The sequence below is a fragment of the Homo sapiens genome, chromosome 19 (assembly GCF_000001405.40).
Source record: "Homo sapiens chromosome 19, GRCh38.p14 Primary Assembly".
In the NCBI taxonomy this organism is placed as follows: domain Eukaryota; kingdom Metazoa; phylum Chordata; class Mammalia; order Primates; family Hominidae; genus Homo; species Homo sapiens.
This window is the reverse complement of record NC_000019.10, coordinates 22,509,085-22,534,250: the sequence shown is the minus strand read 5'-3', so window position 1 is coordinate 22,534,250 and position 25,166 is coordinate 22,509,085. Positions and strand designations below refer to the sequence as shown.

General features: G+C 49.5%; 3 long non-coding RNA genes across 5 annotated transcripts in view; 2 read left to right on the top strand and 1 right to left on the bottom strand.

The window, feature by feature from the left end:
* Nucleotides 1-756: 756 nt before the first annotated feature.
* On the bottom strand, nt 757-1,625 carry LINC01233 (long intergenic non-protein coding RNA 1233). 2 transcript variants are annotated; one of them, NR_110663.1, is made up of 2 exons: nt 1,337-1,625; nt 757-1,080 (listed from the first exon to the last, which is right to left on the bottom strand). It is a non-coding gene; the product is annotated as a long intergenic non-protein coding RNA 1233 (long non-coding RNA). The 2 variants fall into 2 exon arrangements; NR_110664.1 differs by having other exon boundaries at nt 757-1,035.
* A 140-nt stretch (nt 1,626-1,765) lies between these two features.
* LOC105376917 (uncharacterized) overlaps nt 1,766-25,166 on the top strand; it is a 76,394-nt gene continuing 52,993 nt past the window's right edge. Inside the window, exons 1-2 of one of the 2 annotated variants that reach the window (NR_160727.1) lie at nt 1,766-1,912; nt 19,621-19,887. This is a non-coding gene — a long non-coding RNA (uncharacterized LOC105376917). The remainder of the gene's footprint in view (nt 1,913-19,620; nt 19,888-25,166) is intronic. The other variant, NR_160728.1, reaches the window with a different exon arrangement.
* Nucleotides 6,302-13,256, top strand: LOC101929124 (uncharacterized). Its single transcript, NR_110427.1, has 5 exons — nt 6,302-8,943; nt 9,514-9,630; nt 10,618-10,698; nt 12,058-12,300; nt 12,985-13,256. It is a non-coding gene; the product is annotated as an uncharacterized LOC101929124 (long non-coding RNA).

Genomic DNA, 25,166 nt, shown 5'->3' with positions numbered 1-25,166 from the left:
AGTACTAATAGAGGAGAGAGAGAGAGAGATAATAAATAGATAGATGATATATAGATAGATAGGTGATAGATAGATGATCAATATATGATAGATGACAGATAGATGATAGATAATAGATGATTGATACACGATAGATGATAGATTATCAATATATGATAGATGATAAATAGATGAATGATAGATGATCGACAGATGAATAATAGATGATAGATGAATATGATAGATGATAGATGAATTATCGATATATGATAGATGATAGGTGATAGATGAATGATAGATGATAGATGAATGATAGATGACAGATAGATGAATGATCAATACATGATAGATGATAGATGAATGATCGATATATGATACATAGATGATAAATAGATGGATTATAGACAGATGAATGATAGATGATAGATGAATTATCGTTATATGATAGATAACAGATGACAGATAGATGATAGATAGATGAAAGATAGATGGATGAGATGAGATGATTTATGATGGGAATTAATGCATGGGATTATGGAGGTTCTTCTGAAATAAAATGGAAGTTTTGTCTTTGTGTCTGCTTGAGTACCTGCTCAGGAACCCTGACCGTAGTTCTAAGAATGCAACAAATTCTAATTTTTGGATTGCTAATTCAGGATTAAAGAGAATCCTGTACATTCCCACTTTATTATCAACCACCTTGAATGTGGAAAAAGGGACCTGTGAAATTATAGTTGAAGTGAGGGGTAAATATGGAGAAAAAGAAGGGAGCTTACCTGTATTCACTAGACTTTTATTTAGTTCCAGGGCTTATGAAGGGGCCCAAGAGAGTCAAAGCAGCTTTCTACAAATTCAGCTGTCACATTAATTTTCTCACACACTAGAGTTGCCACTTAAAAATATTAAAATAAAAAAACCAGTGTTGACCATCTAACAGGATTAGTTGACTCAGCTACTAAGTTACTAATTTGCTTCATTTTTGGAAGACATCCAGCATCTGAGAATTGGACTTTTCCTAGAAGTTCACTTGGTACCTTCGGATAAGTCCTGGTTCATCTGCAGAGGATCCGAGGGGAAAGCCTGATGGGACCCACGGCCGCTCTGAGAGGAAAGGGGTGCTGTTGGGTGCGGGAGGAGGAGCTGGGAAGCAGGAGAGCCCGGGACTGGATCCAGCTGGAAAGGGGGGCAAATGTGCTCCCGGAATCAGGGTAGGGACCCTCTAGGAATGGGGCGTTCCGAGAGGTAGGCGTCTGGAACATTGATTAGGGGTCCTTGGAGGTGATTTCTGGGAAGGGAAGGTCTGGGGCAGGGCTGTGAGGAGTCAGGAAAGAAACTGTGGAGTCCGTTCCTCACCCACCTCCTGAGCCCTAGGTTCCGAGGCTCCCAGGTCAGGGGGTTCAGTGGCGCAGGAGGGTCCAGGGCAGGAGTCGGTGAGTTGCCTCTCAGGTCCGCCTGTAAAGGAACTCTGACCCAGAGCGTGAGGGGGACCCAGGAAGCCGCTGCGCCCACCCAGGGAAAGCCCGCCCCACCCCATTGTCCCTGGATCCGGCGGCCCCGCCGCTTCCGTCCCTCTGGAGCGGGCGGCCCCGCCCCTCTTCCCAGAGTGGGCGGGGCAGCAATTGCCTGCTCAGCTTTCCTTGTGACGCCTCACACCCACCTGGACGCGCTGCTGCCTGGCCTCGCCTCCTTTCTCTGTCATCTTTCTCATCGACCAATGGACTTGGAGGATGGCGGCCACGCCCCCTATTCTGCGCTGTAGTAGGCCCTGGTTACGCCTCCTCTGGTCAGTCGCACAGTTGCGCGGTGGCCGACAGGAATTGTTCCCCAGTGGTAAGCCGCAATCTAGCTGACGTGGCCCCAACCCCACATTCCTTCCTGCCCTGCAATGTCTGAAGAAACCCTACAGAGCAAATTGGCGGCTGCAAAGAAAAAGGTACTATCGCCAGGTGATGGCCTCCCCCACCCAGCCCCAGAATCCCTCTGATGGCAGGACTGCGGCCAGAGCTCATGCCACTCCCGAGGCTTACTGGGCTGGGCCCCCAAGTGCCACTGGGCTCCCCCCATCAAAGTCTTGTCAGTCAGCCCCTCCCCTTAACAGCCCAGACCCTGCCTGGAGTGAGATTTGCTTATTTACCATGAAAGAGATCTTGGGAAACTGAACTTGACAGCTTGAATCTTCCTCATGTCTCAATCTGGGGGACTTTGAGTGTCACAGGGTAATATGGGGCATCTTTCTGAAGCATCAGTTTCCCTTGATTCTCTTCAGAGAGAAAAAACATTAATGGATTTAGGGATGACCGTCTCATAGATTTCTAAGAGTATACCAGACCTCTCTGAAATGAGGCTTGGGCTGTCCTCTTTCTGTTCAATTCCTAGATGTAACAGAAAGGCTGCCTTCTGCCGTGAGGACGCATGGGAAAAGAGTAACAGTAAAGAATCTGGTTTTTTGTGTGTGTGTTTTTTTGTTTGTTTGTTTGTTTTTGTTTTTTTAACCTTGCTCTGGAAGGGATGGGGTGTTTGGAGCCCATTCCTTTGGCCTTGGCTATTTGGACAGCGTTATTTTATAACTGTCCTTGAAATGAGCTTGCTAGGTGGAGGAAAACTTGTTCTTTTCTTTGTTTTTTTTAAACCCCTGCCTTGCCACATTCTGGGCCTTAGCTTTTACTTTTCTTGGAGTGAATACATGTAGTACTTATTATTATTTTTAAATTTTTGCCTCAGTTTCCCCCGTTTGATGATTTTTATGAAAGAAGTTTAATAGAAAGCATTACTATTACTTAGTTTTGCCTGAAGAGACAAGTTTTGTTTTTTTTTAACACAAAGGTTGATATTTACGCAGAGCTATTAGCTGAGTGTTGATTTTTCTAGCTACTATTGCCTCTATAGTTGATTGAATACTTCTAACAATGAGAGGTAACAGACAAGGGAGTATTAGGAAACTTTTTAGTGTGGCTAAAACCACTCCTATTAAAGTTTTGAACCCTCCAAAAAATGAAAACTAGCCTCCAAAGAGAGAATCTGGAGACTACTCTTTCCAAGTTTGAACTGGAACGTGGGCTAATTTTTTTATTTTTGTAGTTATTTTTATAATTGCTTTTTTATTATTTTTGATTTTCAGGCAACAATTAGTTAGATTGAATTTTTTACATACTCCTCCTTCGTGGGCTAGGGGGCAGACTAAAGTTAATCTGTTCTGATGGCGTTTTTTATTTTTGTGGTTTGCTGGGTTAGTAAACTTAATGCATTTGCTGTCTTATTAGTGATGATTTTAAGTACTGCCTGCAACCTTATGATGTGGTTAAGCATGTAAATAGGACTGCGGTATGCCTATGACTTATTTTGTGTCCAGGTAGCTGGCCTATAGTATTGAATTTTTTTTTTAGGGTGCCAATTTGTGCCTTTTTAATTTTTAATTTTTATATTTCTTCTTATATCTGTATTTTTTCAACTTTATTATAGATAAGATACCCTAAAGTTTCTCTCTGTTGCAGTGGGAGTAGGAAGAAAGACAGTCTAATTGTTCCAAGCACACAGGCCCCTGTTCATTTAGCTAGCAACTGTTGATATGCCCATGGCCCACAGATCTAATAAAGACCAGGGGATGCTTGCCAAGTATTTGGAGCTTCCAAATACTTGCAAATACTTCCAAATACTTGCTAAGTATTTGGATATTAAGTGTGGTTTAGAGAAGAGAAGCGGGAGAATGGGTCTGGATGGGGTGTTTTGTAGTTATCTCTGCCCTGCTACAAAGTTTTGTTTAATGTTTTATTATAATATTGCTGTTTTAAGCAGGTTAGTTCTCCTACTGGGTCTGTAAAAACTTTTCCCCAATGAGCAATACAGTATCTTTTAATAATAGAAGTTTTTAAGAGCCAGACGCTTGAACTTGTGGGCATCAGTCTGGGGAAAGAGTCAGTTAAAGTTATCTTGAGGCATTAACTCTTGCTTCCCAAGGCCATTGGTTTCCCATGTTAGTCCCTTTACAAACATAACATGAGGAAATGCCTAGGCTGCTGGCAATGTTTTCAGCCAGCTGAGCAAATAGGTTTTTGGTTAAAGGAGGAGGCTCTGGTAACTTCTGGTTTATATGTTCAAAGAATGACGTAAAGACTCGGAATTGCTGCTGGGCTGACTGCTTGGTTTGAGTCCTCTTTATAATGTATAAAGCTATTTTAGCTTTTTGACTGTAGCTTCGTAATGTCATGGAGTAACCTGTAGTCCATATAGGTATATCTGGCTTTAAGATAGTAAGATTTATAGGACTGTAAGTGTTTGTCTTACAATTTGGTTTTGCTGGTATTTTGATGAGCAAGATTCGCTTTGGCCTCGGTGATGATCCGTCAGTGAACTGCGTTGTGCAGTTCCAGCAAACTATTGCTAGGGCCTTGGAGGGACAAACAGGGGGTGTATATATAATTTTGTACTGGCAGTTTGTATAGTACCCTGTAGGACCAGAGACTGTGAAATAGGTTGGGTTCATGGATGTGAACTGACAAATATTAAAGTATATGGATATAGCCCCCCCGCCACTTATAAGACTTCCTTCCTTTGACTTGGTATGAATTTTAAACCAAGTCCCAGGTAAAGACTTAGGGTTATAGCATATATAAGGCTGGCCATTTCCAGGGTTATTAATTGAATAGGTGGTCTGATTGTAAGTACAAGTTTCTAAGCGAGTCTCTGTACATTTATAATACATATAGTGTAACAGGGTTTTAGTTGTACTGTTCCCTGACCAAGTAGTATGTGTACAGTGGGGACACCCTTCTATAGGTGTTTTTTTTAGTATGGTTAAGGGGGGGGTAACAACAGCAAAACAATGTACAGCATACTTATATTTAGTAAGGACAAAGGAGGTCTTTACTTGGGGGAGGAGGTTGAGCACAGTGACAGAACAAATAGGAAAATAGTATTACAGAAAAACTATTAGTTTTAAGATTTTTAATTACATTTACTTGCTTGACGAGTCCTCAAGCTTTGGCCGTGCGTAGACTAGTCAGCTTCCAATGTGTGATTAGAACAGGGCTTGTTTCCTCAAGCTTCAGCCGTGTGTAGACTGGTCAGCCTCCGGAGTGACCAGGGCAGGGTTGTTGTCCTCAGCAGCAGCTTGGTCTCGTCTCAAGATTAGCCGGGTTGAATGTTCTGGGTCCTGCTGGTTGGTTTACTTGTCCTGAGCTGCCGGTTTTAGCTGCCTGTGATGGATTCAAGGCATGATTCCTGTAACTTTAACAGCAGTGGCAGTGGACAAGATTACTGTATGGGGCCCATCCCACATGGGTCTTAGAGAAGTTGGGTTTTACTTTTTAACTGAAACAGAGTTACTAGGTTTAAAGGGGTGTGCTGGGTCTGTTAGACTTATAGGCATTTTTTCCCATACCCAGTCATGGACTTCTTGCATGGCTATTTTTAAAGCCTGCATTTTTTTTTTGAAGGTTAATTCCCCTAGTTCTTGGAGATTACCTTTAATTTGATTTGTGATTTGGGGGTGGCCGACCGAACAAAATTTTATAGGGCAAATACCCAGTTTGTTCGGTGGGGGTGTACCTGACTCAGAGGAGGTTCATAGGTAAAACCTGATTTTATTATAGATTAATTTCCTGGCAATAATTTTTTAGTAGCTGCTTGAGTGTCTGGTTCATGCGTTCCACTTTTCCTGAACTTTGTGGCCGATAGGCTGTGTGTAACTTCTATTTTATTTTTAACAGTTTTGTTAAATTTTGCACTATTTTAGCTATAAATGCTGGCCATTGTCTGACTTTAAAGTTAGAGGGAGTTCAAACTTGGGGATAAAGTCTTTTAGCAGTACTTCAGTCACTTCTTGTGCTTTTTTTGTCCTGGTGGGGAAAGCCTCAACCCACCCTGAAAAGGTGTAAATAAGCACTAGCATGTACCGATAGCCTCTGGCATGGGGCAATTTTATGAAGTTTATAAGCAAGTTTTCATAAAGCATGGCTCTTTCTCCTGTTTAGTTTCCCAGAGGAGGGGTTCCCCCCACTTTGTAACTTCATATAGTGACTTAGCCATTAGTGAGAAATTGGAATCCAGATATGGCAGAATCCTGCTGCCTTTAACTTGTAATGTGACTGTGGGCTTCTGGAAGCCTAATGAGAAGGTGCTCAGTCTGTCTCTAGTCTTTATATTTTTTAGCCCCTGCCAGCCCGGATTAGATCAGTATTTTTTTTTTTTTTTTTTAGGGTGTGACAGCTTTTAGCTGGTGACTTTTTTATACCACAGCCTTTACTACTCTCTTTATTACCTTCTGGACATTTATTTTTTTTAGTGTCCTTTTTTTTGCATCTCACGCATTGATCTTTTTTTTAACCTTGTCTGGCTCTCGAATCCTTGCTTAACTTGACCTCTTTCATGTCTATGCCCGCGTCCACGTCCTCTCACATTGTTAATTTCTCTTTTTATAAGAGCTGTTGCCAACAGATTGGCCTTTTTCTTAAGCCTTTAATTTACATTTTTCTTTTTCTTTTTGAGTTCTCCTGCTCCTGCGGCTGGCTGGTGGGGCCGGACAACGGCACGGGCGCTGCCCCTATGCACTGCCTTCTATTTTTTCTATTTTTTTCCAATTTTTTTTTTCTTTTTCCTTTCCTTTTTTACACTTTTATTTTTTTCTTTTCTTTGCTCTTCTCCTGGCGCTGGTTCCCGCCCCCTCTTTTTCTAGATAGAGCTGGGCTGGGGAGAGGGACTTAACCCTTGGCGTGCCTAGCTTGTTACTTTTGCTCTTTCCCATTTTGTTCCTTGGTTACAGTTAACATATACCTTGGTGGCCACTTTTATAAGTTGGGTGGCATTCATGTCTGCAGCTTCTGCTTGATGTTACCCTGGGCTTGCCTGACAAATGCTGTGTTCACCACGTGCTGATTTTTGGCAGCCTTAGGGTCAAATGGGGTGTAAAGCCAGAATGTTTTACAGAGTCTTTTATAAAACTAACTTGGGCTCTCGTTAGCTCTCTGAAGCACTTTTGAAATTTTCCTTATATTAATTGTTCTCTTTTTACCAGCTCTTTACCCCTGTAAAAGCGACCTCTTTGTACCTCTGCAGGCGCTGAAGCTGGGTCCTGATTGGGGTCTGCTTCTGGGAACCAGCCTTGAGCATGTGCTTGAGCATTCACTGCTTCTGCTAGTGCATGGGCTTCTAGCTAGCGGAGAGCTGCTTATGTCATTCTCTGGCACTCTTTAATGTTAAACAACGTTAGGAAAAGCTGCCTGCAATTTGGCCAGGTTAGATTATGTGTCAGAAAGATGGAATGCATCAGATTTATAAGAGCTTGGGGCTTCTCCGTGTAGGAGGGTGTGTGGTGTTTTCAGTTTAGTAGATGAGTGGTTGAAAAGGGCTGATAGAAGAAAGTCCGTTGCCCCCCCGCCACTGGGATGTGGCCCTGGTCATTATAATAGATGGGTCTTCGTATCTCCCTGAGAGGCATTTGTATAGCTCGAGCACAACCAGATTTGGGACGGCCTGCTTGACTATTTTGACTTCCTTCCTTAGCCTCTTGAGGCTCCAGTCTTTCCCTTTGGGGTGAGACTTGGAGCATGCTGGCTCCTGAATCTGGTTTCTGGAGAGCTGGAGCTGTTGGCCTCGGTAAAGGGGGGTAGGCTGGGACATATGGAAGGAGAATTTTTGTTCCCTCTGGTGGCTCCTATAAACTAGCTTCTTTTGCTTTTTCTGGGACTTTTCCTTTAACTCTGTGTCTGCCGGCGAAGCTGTTTTTATTTTTATTTTTGGCTTTTTGTAATAAGCCATTAAACAGGGCTGGATTTATGTCGGTTTTGTTTATATTATATTTAACCATGAGTCAATTTAAAAGAATTTGGTCTGGGTGCCCTGGCTGTCCTCTGACCCCTGTCACCACCTTAAATATATGGCTAATTGTTTTTTAGTTTACAGTTCCTTTGGTTGGCTATTTAATACTAAAAGAGGGTTATTTTAATTTACAGAGAGTTTTTAACTTTTGGGGGGTTAACTTAACTTTATAATTTTCTGTAAAACTTTTAAGTTTTTAAATATATATTTTAAGGGACTAGGTTTTGATGAGTTTTTTCCCATTTTCTCCCAGTTATGATGCTGCACATTTACTTTTGTACAGTTATTTTTCTTCTCATTTTGGCCGACTATATGCTGTCTCCTATTACAGGAGTTTTCAGACGCTGCTTGGCTTTGGAGAGTTTTTTATTTTTGTTATAACTTGGAGTTGTAGGGCAGCTCCTATTAGTCATATGTAGATTGTTATTAGTCTCAGTTTGCCCCACAATTTTCTTGGAGCATACAGTTTACGTTAAGAGATTTGTGATTTCTTATTTTGCGACTGATGAGCCTAATTAGGTCCCTCCATTTACACACTTTTATATACTTTTAGTTCTCATGTTTGTACCTGGGGTGGCAAGCCACTTTTGCTACCTCTAGTTTTGCAGTTGGGGTGGCGAGCCACTTTTGCCACCTCTAGTTTTGTAGTTGGGGTGGTAAGCCACTCTCGTCAGTTTTCTAGCTGACTTAGTGAGCTACTTTCGTGTCCTGTGTCAGCTGGGGTGTGAGTTTTATCTGAATTGAGCCACTCCTGTTGCCCCCAGCCCCTCTGGGTCGGACTATTTGGCACACCCCGGGAGGCGATTAGCTTTCTTTCTGTCCCTATGGGCGGGTCCTGCCTTGGGCCCCCAAAACCTTACTGTGGTTCCTGAAGTGCTCTGTTTCTGAAATTGTCCTGTAGTTCTTTTCAGGTTTTGTCGTGCTGCTGCGTAGGGGGAACCAGGTCAGGGGAAAGCTGATTTCCCCTCCGGGCTGAAGATTTTCTGGTGGCACCTGGGGTCACAGGTTTCCCCTGGCCCAGGGCTCCAGACCCCAGAGGCAAAGGAGACAGTCAGCCTGCAGTCTCCGGTCCCTTCATGGCTGCCAAAAATGTGGTAAACTGAGGAACGGAGAGACCAATATGGAGTACAGGAGGATTGTTGTTTATTTTAGGTACGCACCGGCTCAGTGGATTTATATTTAAAAAGCTGAACATTGAACAAAGTCAGAGTGGGGTTTTTGTAAGCAGCCTTACAGAAGCAAAACAAAAGCAGTTAATTATACAGTCATAGGTCATGTAATCTATAGCATAAGTTGTGACCTTGTATAGTTGGTGACCTTGTAGCTGCATTGAAAGAAAAACAAGACCTGGATAAATATAGACATTTGTAAAACATAATAATGCTTAAGAAGCCTGGGAAAAGAGTAACAGTAAAATATATATATATTTTTTTTAACCTTGCTCTGGAAGGGATGGGGTGTCTGGAGCCCATTCCTCTGGCCTTGGCTATTTGGACAGTATTATAACTGTCCTTGAAGTGAGCTTGCTAGGTAGAGGAAAACTTGTTCTTTTTTTTTTTTAACCCTTGCCTTGCCACATTCTGGGCCTTAGCTTTTACTTTTCTTGAAGTAAATAAACGTAGTACTTATTATTATTTTTAAATTTTTGCCTCAGTAAAAACTGTAAAGTCAGATGCGACTGCAGGGACTTCTCATGAGAATTCCTGCTCTTCTTTTCCACAGATAAGAAACTATCAGTGGAGGAACAGCCTTGGTGTTCCTAGAGGAGCGAAAGAGAAAATTTAAAATGGCAGTAACCCTGAGACAACCACTTCTGGTGGTTGCCACTCACCTGGGGATGTGAGTCTTGGCTGGCCAGGCTCCTGGGGACAGGGGGCCCAAGGGCAGTAGAGGGTAGTTGTTTAGATTGTGGAAGAACTGTTGGGTCCTGGTTAAGAATTCTGTGTTTTAATCCTACCTCTCCAGCTGCTAAGGATATGATGTAGGGCAAATTACTTGATCTCTTTGGGCCTCTCTTTTCACATCTGTAAAATAGGGGTGGTATTGTTTGACTTACACTTGTGAAGCTTAAATGAGATTTGTTATTGTTGTTTTTAGGTTAATGCCAAGTACAGGGCCTGCCATAAACACCCAAGGCACCCAGGAAATGACAGTTGCTGTTTCATTTTCCTCATCCCCAGTCTCAAGGGGAAGCCAGGCCAATGAGAACAGCCACTTGCCATCAGGCTGTCTTTTTTGGAGTCACCGAAAGGGCCCCAGGATGTGGTGAGGAGAGCCCCAGGCACTAAGATTAGGAGAAGATCTAACTTTTAATCTCATCTTTGCCGCCAGCGTGCTGGGTGACCACAGAAAAGTCACTTCTTCCCCTGGGCCTCAGTTACCTCCTCTGTAAGATGACATTGGATAAGATCAGTGTGTTCAAACTTGTTTTTTTTGCGGGAGTCCCCTTTGTTCAAGTGAACCCTTACTCAAAAGTCTGGTTTTTAAAATGGAAGTGGAGGTCTGGTGCTCTGCCAGATTCATCCCCACATCCTGGGCCTGAGGAGAGGGATCCAATGAGAGTATTCAGAGTGGCATCGGTCAGGTGACTCCACCCTGTGTGACTGCATCGCTCAGGGGACTTCTCCATCTATTTGTTTCTGCCCCTGGCAAGGCAGCAGGCAGCCATTTTGAAGGCCAGACCATGGTCTTGATCTCCTTTGCTCTTCTTCAGCATTTCGTTTCCCTAAAGCTACCTCTTCCTCCTCCTCTGACTCTCTTGCCTCTCTCTAAGCCACTTCTGTCTTTCTCCCCCTGCCCTTGTTCTACCCTTTTCACCTCCTGTAGATTCAGGACATTCTGAATGTCCTGGTGTCTGACCTTAACCGTTCCAATGGGGTAGTGCTCCCCACACTGGACAAGTGGAAGGTGAGGCAGTGCCAAGATCCCTCTCTGACTTGCTCTCTCCAGCTGTGCATGCCCCAAGGCTCCTCTGGTTTGGGGGATACTTTGCCTCTGGCTTATTTTATGTTGCTGCCATTTCCCTTCTGCCTGTTTATGTCTGCTTCTTCACCTATTTGATTGATTGGGTTTTTCTTTTCCTTCACCCACATCTTTTATTATCTTGGAGAAAGTGAGACATATCTTAAAGGTTAGAGGTAATTTGGGAATAACTTTAAGGGCAGGCATATGGAATTTGGGGCTTTTTTTCTTAGAGACAAAGTCTCACTCTCTCGCCCAGACTGGAGTGTAGTGGTGTGATCTCAGCTCACTGCAACCTCCACAAATTCAAGCAATTCTCCTGTCTCAGCCTCCTGAGTAGCTGGGATTACAGGCGCCTGCCACCACACCTGGCTAATTTTTGTATTTTTAGTACGGACGGGGTTTCACCATGTTGGCCAGAATGGTCTTGATCTCTCGACCTCATGATCTGCCCAACTTGGCCTCCCAAAGTCTGGGATTACAGGTGTGAGCCACTGCACTTGGCCCTGAGTTATGCTTCTTAAGCGTCTATCTCATCATCTCTTGATTTAGGGATAATTCTATCTGGTGCTTGTGTAACAGGACAAGCCACAGACAAAACCCTTCAGACACCGAGTTAAAGAGGGATGCGGTTTATTTGGCTGGGAGCATCGGCAAGGCTCCTGTCTCAAGAGCTGAGCTCCCTGAATGAGAATTCCTGTCCCTTTTAAGGGCTCACAACTCTAAGGGGGTGCGTGTGAGATGGTCGTGATTGATTGAGCAAGGAGGGGGTACATGACTGGGGGCTGCATGCACCACTAGTAACCGATTAGGTCAGGGGTCGATCTTTAACTACCAGGCCCAGGGTGTGGCGCTGGGCTGTCTGCTTGTGGATTTCATTTCTGCCTTTTAGTTTTTACTTCTTCTTTCTTTGGAGGCAGAAATTGGGCATAAGACAATATGAGGGGTGTTCTCCTCCTTTATTCAGAGTTCTCTTCTCTAGGAATTAGTGTGTGGAGACTCTGTATACTTGTGATTCACTGCTAAATATGAAATTTCCCAATCCAGCAGCAAACAGCAAAGAGCTGGGTTAAAGTTGTGCAGACTGGTTGAAACACTTAGCCAGACTTAAGCGGCCTGGGTGGGACCATCACTCCCAAAGCTGTCAGCAGAGAAAGGCCCTCTGTGTCAGTCAATTCAAGCCTGGTATTGCTTTGCAATTGAGTCCTCATCCCATGGGGGAAGGTCTCTGGGGGCTTTTCATTCCTTTATACTAGTGTTCTGGATATAACTTCCTGCTTCCCACTTTCTTTTTTGATTTCTCAGAAGACCAGTGTCTCCCTGTAAACCGTGGCCTTCTGTGCACCGAGCTCAGTGGCTCTTCCCCACCAAAACTCCTAAGAGAAGTCATCTCTCCCCAAAAGGATCCCCACAAGATGTTCTGGCCCTCTGCTGACTGCTCCCTGGAATCTGCATCTCAAGCACTGAGAATGCTGTGCTCTCCATTGGTCACCTTCAGACTCCATTTCCCTGCTGCCAAGTCTTCTCTTCTGCCCTGTGTATTCCATGGTGAACCCCTTAATGTCTGTTCTGTGCCACTAGCTTGGCCCTGGGCCTTTTATTTATACCCGAGTCTTACAACGAAGAGTGTCCTGAGCAGACAGTGTCCACCTTCTTTGCTCTTCCGGGTCCTGAGTGTGCTCCTTTCCCTTTTGCAGGTCTATTGGACATAGTAATCCTGTGTGCTGGGGAGGGGTAGCCAGGCCGGCTACAGAGTCTGCAATGCAGGGGCTTGGGGAGGTTTGGGTTCTCTCTGCCACCACTATTGAGATGATATTCAGAAGAGAGAGGACCTCATACTGTGACCAGACCCAAGACCCTTCCTGGAAGACAGCTCAGTCCAGCTGTGTGTGTGTGTGTGTGTGTGTGTGTGTGTGTGTGTGTGTGAGAGAGAGAGAGAGTTATGTGTGTGCTGTGCTCATGTGCACCTGGGTGTAAAATGACTGTTAGCTGGTTGTGTTACTCAGGGTGGGCTGGGGACTCACTGGAAGAATCCCCCCAGCCTGCCCAAGACAGGTTTTTTCCTTGTGCCCTCTTCAGAGAGGTCAGGGAAAGAGGGTCCAGGTGGGCAAAGGCGGAGATGCCGCAAATGATTAACCACTAAGGCCAGACGGCTGCCAGGAGGAGTGGGGGTTGATGAGGTGGCCCCAGGGTCTGGGCAACTGGCTTTGGTTTTCCATCTTCTTTCCTCAGGATGCCCCTGAGGCCTGGGACCTGTGCCTGGCTTTGAGGAGCATCTGTGGCTTGGCGATCCAGCTGCTGGGGTGATGGTGGGCTTCCCTTCTCTCAGCAGGGCTGGAGTTCTTGCCCCAGAGACTGGACAAGTGGCTGTTTCTGTGACATATTTATTTTTACTGGCGTTTCATGTTGCTTAAAAAAAAAAAGCAAACAGAAAAATTGTAAGTCAGTATAATTGCCTATCAGTTTTCCTTATTTCACTTTTTGTAAGATAAAATTAAAACTCCAGAAGACAGTGTTATTTGATCAAGGAATGGTCTGGACACCGGGTTGGCTGGGTGGTAGTGAAAAGAATAGATCTTAGAACACAGTGGGCTCTGCGATAGTCCTTGGGTGGTGAGACAGGCAGGAACAGAAGGAAGATTGCTGGCAGTTTCTTTGTTACAGTGGGGTTCACTGGGCTTTTTCTGCTTTTGTTTACCTGAAGAGGGATGTATTTCCAGGCTCCAGGGGAAACAGCAAGCTGACTTCAGAGTGGCTTGAGGCTATGTGGGCCTCAGCCATGACAAGTCCTGCACAGACAGCCCTGACCAGACTGCGAACGGCTGGGGATTGGGTGCAGTGCCTTCAGAGGGTGGGAGATGGTTGTAAGGGATAATTGGAAGGACAGCCAAGAAAGGAATGAGGCCAATAGACCCAAGTTCAGGCAAACTGATTTATTGTCAGTCCTGCCGGGCTATCTCTTGACAAAAGCAGAGGAGGCAGCCCCACTTATAGGCTGGAGCAACGTCTTACAGGGCGTAGAACTGGGTCAGGGTGAAGGAAAAGGAAAAGCGGGGAGGGGGGAGTCCTTTGTGCCGTGTATCTGACCGCTTCCTGGAGATGTTTTTCTTGCCAGTTCTGTTGTGCAAGGTAGACATCTTAACCGCATCCTGGGACAGCTGGCCTCTGGTCAAACAGTTATAGGCAGGTTTGGGGTAGGGGGTTTTATTTTTGGCCTTTGGGGCTTAGTCTATGGAAGGGGGAAACAGTCCAGTTGGGTGGACCTTAGCAATGGTGTATCTGTAAGTGGCTGGTGGCAGCGACAACATTCTTACGCTGCATGTGTATTGTTCAGTTGTCATCTGTGTTGGGGAATCTAGCCACTGGCCCACAGAGAGTTAACCAGAGCTTGGGAGTGTGAGAGGTGGGAAAGAGGGAACCATCTACTCCAGCTTCCTGTCTAATTTCTTCAAGGGGAGGGGCCCTGGGGAAACAATTCTGTGGAAATGTATAAAGGAAGATAGAGAAAGAATCTCTGTAGGGATTCCTTGGGCAGAGGAAGGCAAGAGGAGATGCAGGCCACGTCTGGGCTCATGATAGGGAAATCTGTGCTATGGGGAGATGGGACTGGGAGTGAAGGGTGGGTGCGGCAGATGGCTGGGCCAGCAGGTTTCCTGCCACCTGTTAAAAGGGGGTGGGGGTCGGGTAAAGAGAGTGCCTTGCAGAGTAGGCTGCTGCCTCCCGGTGGTCAGCCGCGGCCTTGCATGGATCTTGCCAAGGGAGTTTGCTTGGCGCTGTTGGAAGCGGCCTGAGATGAAGCTGGGCAGGCTGATGGCCTGCTTCCCCCGTTACCGGCAGACTCTCCTTTCACGAAGGAGGTGCTGAAGCTCCTGAGGCACGTGCTGAACTGTGATGTGGGGCTCTGGAGTTCCCCAACCACGCTAAAGGAAGTGAGCAGAGAGGACAAGATGAAGAATGGGCGCCTCCTTACAATGGCTTCCTGGGAAAAGTTGACCACCTCCTGAGAAGCAGGAGAACTGACCAGCAGACCCTGCAGGCAGAGGCTGTTAGTCTCTGAGCCAGTGCCATGGTCCCCTTTGTGTCAAAGGAAATGCTCCCAAGTGAAAAGCCTGCCCGCCTGGGGCACCTGAGCTGAGCGTTTGACGGTGTGCTGGGCGTTCATAGGTAAAATAACTGCCGCGATCTGCACTGACCCGGATCGCAGTGCCTGTGAGGGGCCAGCTACCTATTCCGCCGGTCTGCCTGGAGGGCTGGGACAGGCTTGGCCCTGTGGACCAGGTTCCATCTCCCCTGCCTGCGGAAGGAAGAACGTGAAGCAGAGAGAAAGGAAGCGGGATGATGACTGCCCCTGTGTGCCCAGCCTGCTCTTTGCTAATGCAGTAGTGGGATCCACAAGGTGAACCACCCCATGATTACTGACTGTTTCCACCACCAGTTTCCTGCCATCATCAAGGAGCTTACACTTGACCTGGGAGTCACCTAAGCTATCGCTAACCAGAAAGGCAGACCAGCCTCCCCCAGCCACCACCAGGGCACTGAGGGAGGAGCCTGGAAGAAGGGCATGTCCCTGGGATGTGGACTCCAGGAGGGCGGAGCCTTGGTCTTGTTCACTGTATCCCCAGCCCCTAGAATTGCCCTGGCAGGGAGTGATCATAAATGTTGGATGGATGAATGTGCTCACGGAGCGGGGAGGGGTGGGTGGAGGCAGGAAGCAGATATTTGGATCCACCAGCTTCTTCCGCGAGCCCAGACTGGGCTTAAGCTTCCTCAGCCATGCCTTGCTTGGTTCCCAAGTCTGTTGCGAAGCTACAGTGAGAGAAAGTGGCAGGACTAACGGTGCTACAAATGTCTGAGGCGGATACTGCTGTGCCGTGTCTCCCTAGCCTGTGCAAACGCTCCTCCTCAGCCTCAGCTCCCTGGCCCCAGCCTGGCCTTCTCCTGCGGACCCCGGTGCCAGGCTGTCACTGAGGTGCTCTTGCCGACCCAGATCCCTTGGGTGCTGCTAAATCAACCTCAGCAATTGCAGAGTTTGCTGGAGGCGGGAAAGTAGGCCGCGGTTTCCACCCCAGCCAGCTCTGGGTCCCCGCACACGCCCGTTGCTGTGGAGACGGGGCGGGGAGGCATCAGCCCTCCGGGTCCCGCGCGCTCAGGCCATGGGTAGAGCCACGCCCACGGCCACGGCCACGCCCAGGGCCCAGTTCTGCCAGAGAGGGGGCGGATCGGCGTGCGTGGCGGACGGTGTCGGAGACCCGGCCGGTCCGGAGCCGGGGCCGGGCTGGAGTCGGGGCGTCCCCGCTGGAGCGTGGGTCTGGGACCCCCATCCTACCCGGCAAGACCTCAGGACTATCCCCAGTGACCCCAGCGGCCCGGCCGCTCTTGGAGTCTCGTCTTGCCCACTACTGGCCCCGGCAGGGTCCGAGGGCCTGGATGCGACCTTGGGGCAGCACCCACCCTTCCGGGCCCACTGCCAAGGCCGCAGGCTCAGGGCACGCCCGGGGCAGTGGAGCTGGGGAGGGAGGCCCGAGTCGCGTTTTAACTCTGCCCTGTCCCCCAGGGCCGCGCCTCTCACGCGGGCTGCAAACTTCAGCGTCGCTGAAGTTACAGATGTGCGGGACTCGGCAAGGAGGTGGGAGACAAGAAAAGCTGTAAGTTAACAGGCGAGGACAGGGTGAGCAGGGGCTGGAATCCGACCGCGCGAGGCGGTGGCCCCTGCACCTCCAGCACTGAAGTTTAGCCTGCGGCGGGGACCCTAAAGGACCCGGCCTCCGGGCCCCGCGCACGGGGTCGGCAGCAGGAAGCCCGCGGGGACAGCCTTCCCTGACGCTCGCCCGCGCCGACCTCTGAGCGGAGGGGACACCCAGGCTTGAGAGAGGGCGCAGCCCGGTCGGCGGCAGTTCCTGGGCGCCAGGTGTGCCTGAAGCCCTCCAGGAAGAGGGGCGTGACCCAGACTCTAGGGAAGATCCCTGACACTGTGAATCTAGGTTTGGCTTCTGATTTCCCCCAAGGGGGTTGAGAGTGGGGCGAGGGTGCTTCAGAGGCCCCGGGGGGCTTTCCCTGAAGAAGGGAGTCAGGGCGTGGTGCTCGGCTCAGAGGTTATTTCCTGTTCCGGAGTGACTGTTCCTTTTCAGCTCCCGGCATTGAAGCACTCGTACCGGCCACACTGGAGGCCATGAGTTAACTAACGTAAGCCTGGAGTTTCAGGCAAGCTCCCAGCCCGTCTTCCTTTTCTCTTTTCTTTTTCTTTTTATTTTTTTGAGATGGAGTCTCACTTTGTCCCCCAGGCTGGAGTGCAGCGGCGAGATCTCGGCTCACTGCAGCCTCCGCCTTCTGGGGGTTCAAGCGATTCTCCTGCCTCAGCCTCCCGAGTAGCTGGGATTACAGGCGCGCGCCAGCACACCCGGCTAATTTTTGTATTTTTAGTAAAGACCGGGTTTCACCATGTTGGCCAAGCTGGTTTTGAACTCCCAACCTCTGGTGATCTGCCCGCCTTGGCCTCCCAAAGTGCTGGGATTACAGTCCTGAGCCACCATGCCCGGCCCCTTTTCTCTTGAATACAGGGGAAATTTACATTACCCCTCCCCGTGCTGACCAAAGCCCTGGGGCCTGCAGGTGCATTTTTCCCCTTTCTGAACAGTTTGGGAGGTGAGAAGAAGAGAAAGGTGGATACTAAGTTCCCTTCAGGGGACAGGAAGTGCTCAGCTGAGATGGCAGATCAGAGTGAGGGCTTGTCATTCCCATGGCAAGTGGGGGGCCTAGATGCTAAGAGTTTTGCAGCTTTGGGCTCAGAGATGTCCAACAAAGATTAAATTCTTGAGTCTTTCTGGAAGCCAGTCACCAGAGAGGAGAGAGGAAGTGGAAATGGGGGCCTGGAGTCTGAGTGTTTGGGTTCATGTTGCCTGCATTTTGGTCCACGTGGCTCTGTTTAATACCTGTGTGACCTTGTGCAAGTCTCTTAACCTCTAACCTCTTGCGCCCTTAGCCATACCTGTCTTGTCGGATTGCTTTGAGGATGAATGAAGCAGCTGTGTTTCGACACTTAGTGCCTGGCGTATAGTAAGTGCTCGGTGGAAGATTTCTTATCATTATCATCAAAGACAACAGGAATGAAACTAACTGGAGACAAGATGAGTAGGACAGGCAGAAAAGAGAGAGAGATACTGATGGGTAGGAGCACAGATGGCTGAGACCAGTGGGCAGCACCTCTGTGTCCTGACACCAAAAGTTTAGAAATTTACTTTACCTTTGCCGGGCCCGGTGACTCACGCCTGTAATCCCAGCACTTTGGGAGGCTGAGGCGGGCAGATCACCTGAGGTCAGGAGTTCGAGACTAGCTTGGCCAACATGGTGAAACCCATCTCTACGAAAAATACAAAAATTAGCCGGGTGTGGTGGCAAGTGCCTGTAGTCCCAGCTGCTCAGGAGGCTGAGGTATGAGAATTGCTTGAACCAGGGAGGTGGAGGTTGCAGTGAGCCAAGATCGCACCACTGCACTCCAGCCTGGGCAACTAGAGCAAAACTCCATCTCAAAAAAAAAAAGAAAAAAAAAGAAAGAAATTTACTTTGCCTCTTTGTGAGCAAATACTGTGTGTTCATTGACTCCAAAAATAATTTTTTTAAATGTAAAATCAACACCCAGAACCTACAGGGAACAAATATTTCCACAGAGCTAAGTTTTCCACAAAGCTGCAGTGTGGCCTTTTCAGCTTCAAAACCTTTTAAATGTTAAGTATTAGTTTTAAATAATTGGGGTGGGAATGTTCCCCCAGTGGGTCACATGCTTCCCTTCCTCTTTAAACAGTATTCTCTGGGCTACAATTCCCCCCTCTCCAGGCAACTCAGGTCAAGGCCTCTGTGTAAGAGGGTTAGGCCTCTGGTCCCGAGCTGCCTGGAAACCTAGGCAGCCTGCCTGGAATAGCTCACACAGTGGTTCTGTGTTGTGTTCCTGGGCCCGCTCTTGAACAGCTTCCCTTCCTCTATGCGTAACTGTTACTGCTTCCTGTTCTGAGACTCCCCTTCTGGCAACCTTTTCCTCTCACTCCTCACTGTTTCTTCGGGGTAGAAAATTAGGATGAGGCTTGTTAACATGGGTGGTTCAAGTCTGGGAAGCTTAATGGTGGACTTTGTTCTAGCTGCTCAGGCCATTTTGCTGTGGTCTTCCCTCTGGTTCTGGATGGGTGAGCTTGCTGGAGAGCAAGGTCCCTGCAGGCCAGATGTACTTAGCAAAGGAGAGTTTCCTATGAAATTCTCTTCCCGTCTCACATTTCCCCCCAGGGAATTTTGTTCCTTATGGTTTCCCTGTTTGTTGATAGGTGTGTGGACCCTGGTATTCGTCTGCCCTCCCTCTGGCAGTAGCCCCTGAGGCTTCAGGAGGCTGGACTGGCAGTGTGGCTCTGCTGTGGGAAAGAAGTGGTATTGTGGAGGAAAGGCAGGCTGGCTGGCATCTGGCACATCTTGGGGGAGACTTGTCCAGGCAAGGAGTATGGTATTGTGGAAGAAAGGCAGGCTGGCTGGCATCTGCCATATCTTGGGGTAGAGTTGTCCAGGCCAGGAGTATGTCCCTGGATGACTCACTTCTGTGCCCCTCTGTGACTCAGTTTCCCCAGGTGTGACCAGGGCTGCCAGCTGACAGGTAAAGCTGTTCTGAGATCCTCACCTACTGTGATTAAGAAATAAAGAGGCTTGTGGCTTCAGTCATCCTTTATAGCTCTCTTCTAGGTCACTATGTGCTGACACCTCTGGCCCCTCCACCTCCTGGGTCAAAGCACCCAAGGCAGGGCTGAGGAGCTGGGGGCAGAACTGGTTGGTGGTCAGGTGGGCACATTGTTGGAGATGGCTACCAGCCTCCTCTCCCTTCTTTCTCTGTTGCAGCTGCCTTGGGGTGCGGTGCAGGGGTCCAGAGCCATGTCGGACCTGTTACTGTTACTACTGGACCTGACTCTGTTACTGCTGCTGATGCTGCTGGGCTTTGCCGGGTACTCAGGGCAGTTGGCTGGGGTGGCAGTGAGTGCCGGCTCACCCCCCATCCCTACAAGTTCCATGTGGAGCCCTATGGTGAGACTGGGTGGCTTCTCACCAGAGCTGCAGCATCTCCCCCAAACTCTGCTCCATCGCTGTCCACTAGGACAACCCTGCATGGTAAGGAGCCTCCATGGGGTTCTGCCCCATGGATGGACCTAGTGGGCCAGGGCTTCTTTGGGGAGGGTAGTTTTGGTTGCTGAGGAAAGGGTAGGAAAATCCTCCAGCTGGCCCTGCAGACCCCTCCCCTGTGAGCTTGAAGCGCCTTCCAGATTTAGCCTGGACTTCTGCCCCGGGAATCCATTTGCGGGCTTTCTACTTGTCTGAGTCTAGTTCTCCTTGCCCACGGCTACTCAAGGATTTTCAAATACAGTGGATGATACCACTATGAGTCCCTAGCTTCTGCCAGACTTTGGTCCGCTGCTTCCTCTTGTTGTCATCCCTCTTTCCATCTCCATTTGGGGCCAGTGCTATCAGCCCAAGCCATTCAGATTCTGGCCACTCTTTGGGCTTATGTCATGCTGTTTCTGTGCTTTCCACCCCTCAGCTCTCCTGCGGTAGTTGTAGGCCCTTGAGGGCTAAAAGGGCAGGGTTAGGGGTCAGCAGAATGGCTGAAGAGGTAAGATTCCAAGCTCCATACCCAGGGGATATGGCATTTCCTTAGACCTCAAACCGCCTAGTTGGGAGAGGGCCTGGGGATCTAGTGGAACCAGATGAGCAGCTCAGAATGTCCAGAGTACTGCAGTCATAGATGAACCCAGCATCACTAGCACCCCATGGGCGTCTGGCTGTTCTTACAACCTATGGTGAGTCAGGGCTTGCCAATGTAGCCTCTTGCTATGCTGTGGGGTGGCACTGCCGCAACTGGATGGGCTGGCAGTTCTGCCAAGGGTTCTTCAGCCTCTAATACTGAGCCTTGCCAAACTAAGCACGAATCCCCAGCTCTGACAGTTTTTTTTGCCTGGAAAGCTCAAGTGGACAAGCCCTACGGCCTACCCAATGTCTGCTGACCAGGCTCACTGGGCAGTCAGTTAAAACAGGGTGTGCTGGTTCCCTCTCTGTGCCAGGTTCTGCTCTACACCTATACTCCAGAGATGAATCAGACCTAGCCCTGCCCTCAGGAAGCTCTGTGAGGCTGGGAAGTCAACCCCACACAAGTGGTTCTCCAACAAGACACGGTGCTTGATGTCCACAGAACTTTGAGCTGTGGGTTCAGGGATGCTGCCATGAGTCTGCTGGGGAGCCTCGGGGAAGGGGTAGCTGGGCCTTCTCATGTAAGTAGAATTTTGCTCTGTTGGGAAGGGCCACTTACTTGGCCAAGAAAACTGCAAGAGCAAGAGCCTGGAGAGATGGGGTGACTGGAGAGGTGTGGGTAGTGGACATGTGGGTAGAGAAAGGTGGAAGGGTTCGCCCAGCCAGGTGATGGATAGGCACAGTAGGTTGGAAGGAAGGGAATGGCACAATTGCCACCTTTGTTTTAGGAAGTTAGCTGAACGGCAGGGGGTGAGGGAAGGAGATGAGGCAGGAGGCCGTAGAAGAGATTGGGCTGGGCCCAGGCAAGATTTGACGTGGGTTGGTTGAGGGATGAGTAGATGTTGTCTGAGGTTTTGCTGTCCCATGGCCAGGAGTTGGCACTAACAAGTTGGGAGCATGAGCACCTGGGTGGATGGGACAGACAGTGGGCTCTGGGGAGCTCCTAGTCCGGATATGTAACCCTCGCCCCTGCAAAGGCTCTGTCGTGTAATCCCCTGCTTCTCTGCTTTCCCCTGGCTCCTGCCCCTCCTTCCACACCTGGCCCAGTGACAGGTAGGAGAGTCCTAGCAGCTGCCTCTCTCTTCATCAGCACATCTGCCTGTTCTGGAATCAACATATTGCCCCTTGGGTTGGTGGTGCTAATTCCAGGATGGGAAAGGGCTAAGGCAGCAGGGTACCCCAGGGTCAGGGCTGGAGGCTGGTCTCGGGAAGAGTGAGATGGAAGAATGCTGGCATGGGTTATTCTGGCCTGGCCACTGCCTCCAGGCAGCCCATCATGCAGCTTTCCCAGAGATGTGGTGGACCCCATGGGGTGAGCCCTGGATGTCCAGGGTTGGCTGGGCATAGTCTGACTTGGGTGCTGGTCTAGGGGAGTGTGCCCTGAGGCTGACAGTCCCGAGTTCTGATTCTGTCCCATCACTGTCCTGCTGTGTGATCTTAGGCATATGACATAATCTTTCTGAGCCTTTATTTCCTTGTCTGCAGAGTCATGATAAAATACCTGCTTCGGCCAGGCATGGTGGCTCACACTTGTAATCCCATCACTTTGGGAGGCCAAGGCGGGCAGATCACCTGAGGTCAGGAGTTTGAGACCAGCCTGGCCAACATGGTGAAACCTCATCTCTACTAAAAATACAAAAATTAGCTGAGTGTGGTGGCATAGCCTGTAATCTCAGCTACTTGGGAGGCTGAGGCGGGAGAATCGCTTGAACCTGGGAGGCAGAGGTTGCAGTGAGCCGAGATTGCACCACTGCACTCCAGCCTGGGTGACAAGAATGAAACTCCATCTCAAAAAAACAAAAAACAAAACAAAACAAACAAACAAACAAAAACCCGGCTTCATAGATAGGCTGAGAAGGTTGAGTGATATAGGCGAGGCATTCACCCCAGCACTTAGCCCTCAACAGATGCTAAACAACAACAAAGACGGGTGGGAAACCACTTGTGCTAACATGTGTCGAGAGGTCAGGCTGAGCAAATCTAGACACTTGGCCTGGCTGTGGACATTTGGCTGGTACAGAGGAGGAGTGAGCAGGTTAAGGTGGCCCTTCTGATCCTGCTCCTGCCAGTCCTGGGTCAGTCCAGAAGAAACCTGTGTCTCCATTCAGAGCTAGGTCACGCTCTGGCACCTGGGATGGCTCAGGGACACCTGGGTCCCTATCCACTCTGGGAGCTGGTCAGTGCATTCTCTGCCTGGCAGAGATTGTAACAGGTTCAGGGAACCATGGACCCCAGGCTTCAGGTGCTCATGGCTATCACAGACTGTCTGGTCCGGAAGGACCCGAGGCCTCCTGGTCCACACGCCATACGATGGAGGGAGAAGCAGTTTCATATAGTAGGAGTAAGGGACTGATCTCATCCTATTTTGTTTTCATTTAACACATATTTGAGCACCTGATCTGTGCCAGGCTCTGTGCTGGGCACTGGGGTACCATGGGGACCAGGACCTCCGAGTGTGTGGGTGTCAGAAGCCTAGATGAAAGGCCCCATCCTGGTCCTGGAGTGGGCTGAGAACCCAAGCTTTTTACCCCCTAGGCTGATTCTGCCAGCAGTGTGCAGCCTGGGGCATGGTCTGGTTCTCAGAGAAAGAGGGTAGAGGCTGACCCGCTGCTCCTTTCCCAGCCTAGAGCAGCAGGAGCTGAATCTGCTTCTCTGTGAGTATGGGGAGGCAGTGAGGCTGTGTCAGGCTGTGTGAGTGGGGTGACGAGTAACCAGGTGAGAGGTGCCACCTGGCTTTAAATGCTGCCTACCACCATGAGGTATGACTGACAGCTCCCTAGCCATGCCTCTTCCTGTCCTCACCTTGGCAGGGGGGAGGCTGGTCCCACCTAGGCTGAGTGTGGACCCAGGAAGTAGCAGAAGAGAGGCTACCAGCAAGGTTGCTGTGGACCTGCTCGTGTTAGATGCTGCTGGAGCTGATGGCCCTGTGTCCCAGAGTCCTGTATGGAAAGAGGCTGCAGGTGTGGGTGAGTGGTTCCTGTGAGGCAGGAGGAAGGATTTCATTCTCCATCCCTGAAGGCCTTGGCATGGTTGGGGATGGGAAGGTGGGAAAGGGGTCTGTTGGGAAGTGGACAGACTCTGGCAGGGGCTCATGGGTGCCGTCACCCACCTCAGACCCCGGCATTCATGGAGTGTGGGCCATTTCCTCTTCAATGTATGCAAGGAAGTGGGGTGAGTTCAGAGATGAGGGTCAGGTGTAGGTGGATGTCAGTCACAGGTCTGCCCCTACACACACCGGTCCATACGACCCTTGCATGGGGAGGGGTCCTGGCTTATAAAACATCTCTGCCCTCAGCCCTGCTTCTGAGGTGGGCACTGGGAGGTTGGAAAGAGGCTTCAAGCTCCCTTTTTGGAGCTGGTTCTTCTGAGAGCCTTCAGTGTTGGAGGGAAGGAAGGAGCTGGGAGGACCCTGAGTGACTCGCTTGATCCTGGCCAGCCCTGGCTTGTGGACAGGCCCTAGTGGCTGGGCTGCTGTCACTGTGCCTGAGGGTCCGTCCCGTCTGTAAGCCTGACCCTCCACCTCCTGCCCCACCCTTTGCCACCACCACCTCTGCTGCTGTATTTGGGGCTGAAGCAACCTGCCTGCGTGCTTGTGCGGGAAGCCTGGGAGAGGTGAGAGGGGCATGGCAGCCAGCCCAATTTACCTGGCCCACGTGGGCCTGAATTTGCTGCTCACACTCACCACCTAGGAGCGGGTGTTTTCTCCAGGCAAGAAGTGGGCAGGGAACTGGTGGCAGTTTGTTCTGCCTCTAGTGAGCTAGACTGTCATTGAAGCCCCCTTTCCCTTAGTCTAACAAGAAGCAAAGCCCAGTCCCACCGGGTCTGCAGGGGCTGAGGCTGGTGAGAGTTCTGATGTAGGCCTGTGTCACACCCCCTCTTCCCGTGCTGTGTGTGGAGATGGGGCTCCCTGCCCTTCCTGGAGGCACTTAGCTCAGATGGAACCTGGGAAGGAACAAGGGAGTAGGATTTCCCAGGACTGACCTCCTCAACAAGGGCAATGGGAATGTGGGTTGGGATGTTTCTTGAGGGCCCAGGCTGCCCCCATCCCAGGGATTTCATGATCATTTTCTGCCAGGCAAAGTCCAGGCATTTGCTGCGCAGCAGGTTAAATGTATGGGGTGAATCTGGAAGCGTGAGTTCCTCTCTGCTCAGTAAACTGGCCTTGAGGTGAGGAGGGATGAGGTGTGAGAGGAAGGGGCTTTGGGTTTGCCCTTCTGGGTTTGAATCAAGGCTCCACTGCTAACCAGTGTGTGGCTTTCGGGGAGTCACTTGGCCTTTCTGAGTCTGTGTCCTCATCTGTCACATGGGGATAAAAGAATCCCTACCTCAGGGTTTTTGTTTTATGGGGAATAAATGATAATGAGATAGCCCAAAACCCAGCCCTTAATAGGTGGGTATCACTTGACATCCAGTCCTGCCTGGGGACCTTGTGCCACTGGGACTTTGTACTTTTAGGGACCCCCCTGCCTCTGGCCTAGTCCCAGCCTCCTGCGGGTTGTCTGGGCCGTGTGAGGAGGCACAGTTCAGGGTACACATTGTGCAGCCCTCTCTCACCAGGGCCCGTGTTTTGGACTCCCGGATGCCTCTGGGTTGCATGGCACAGCTCTGAAGCTGGTCTGCTTGGGTTTGAATCCTCACTTCAGCAC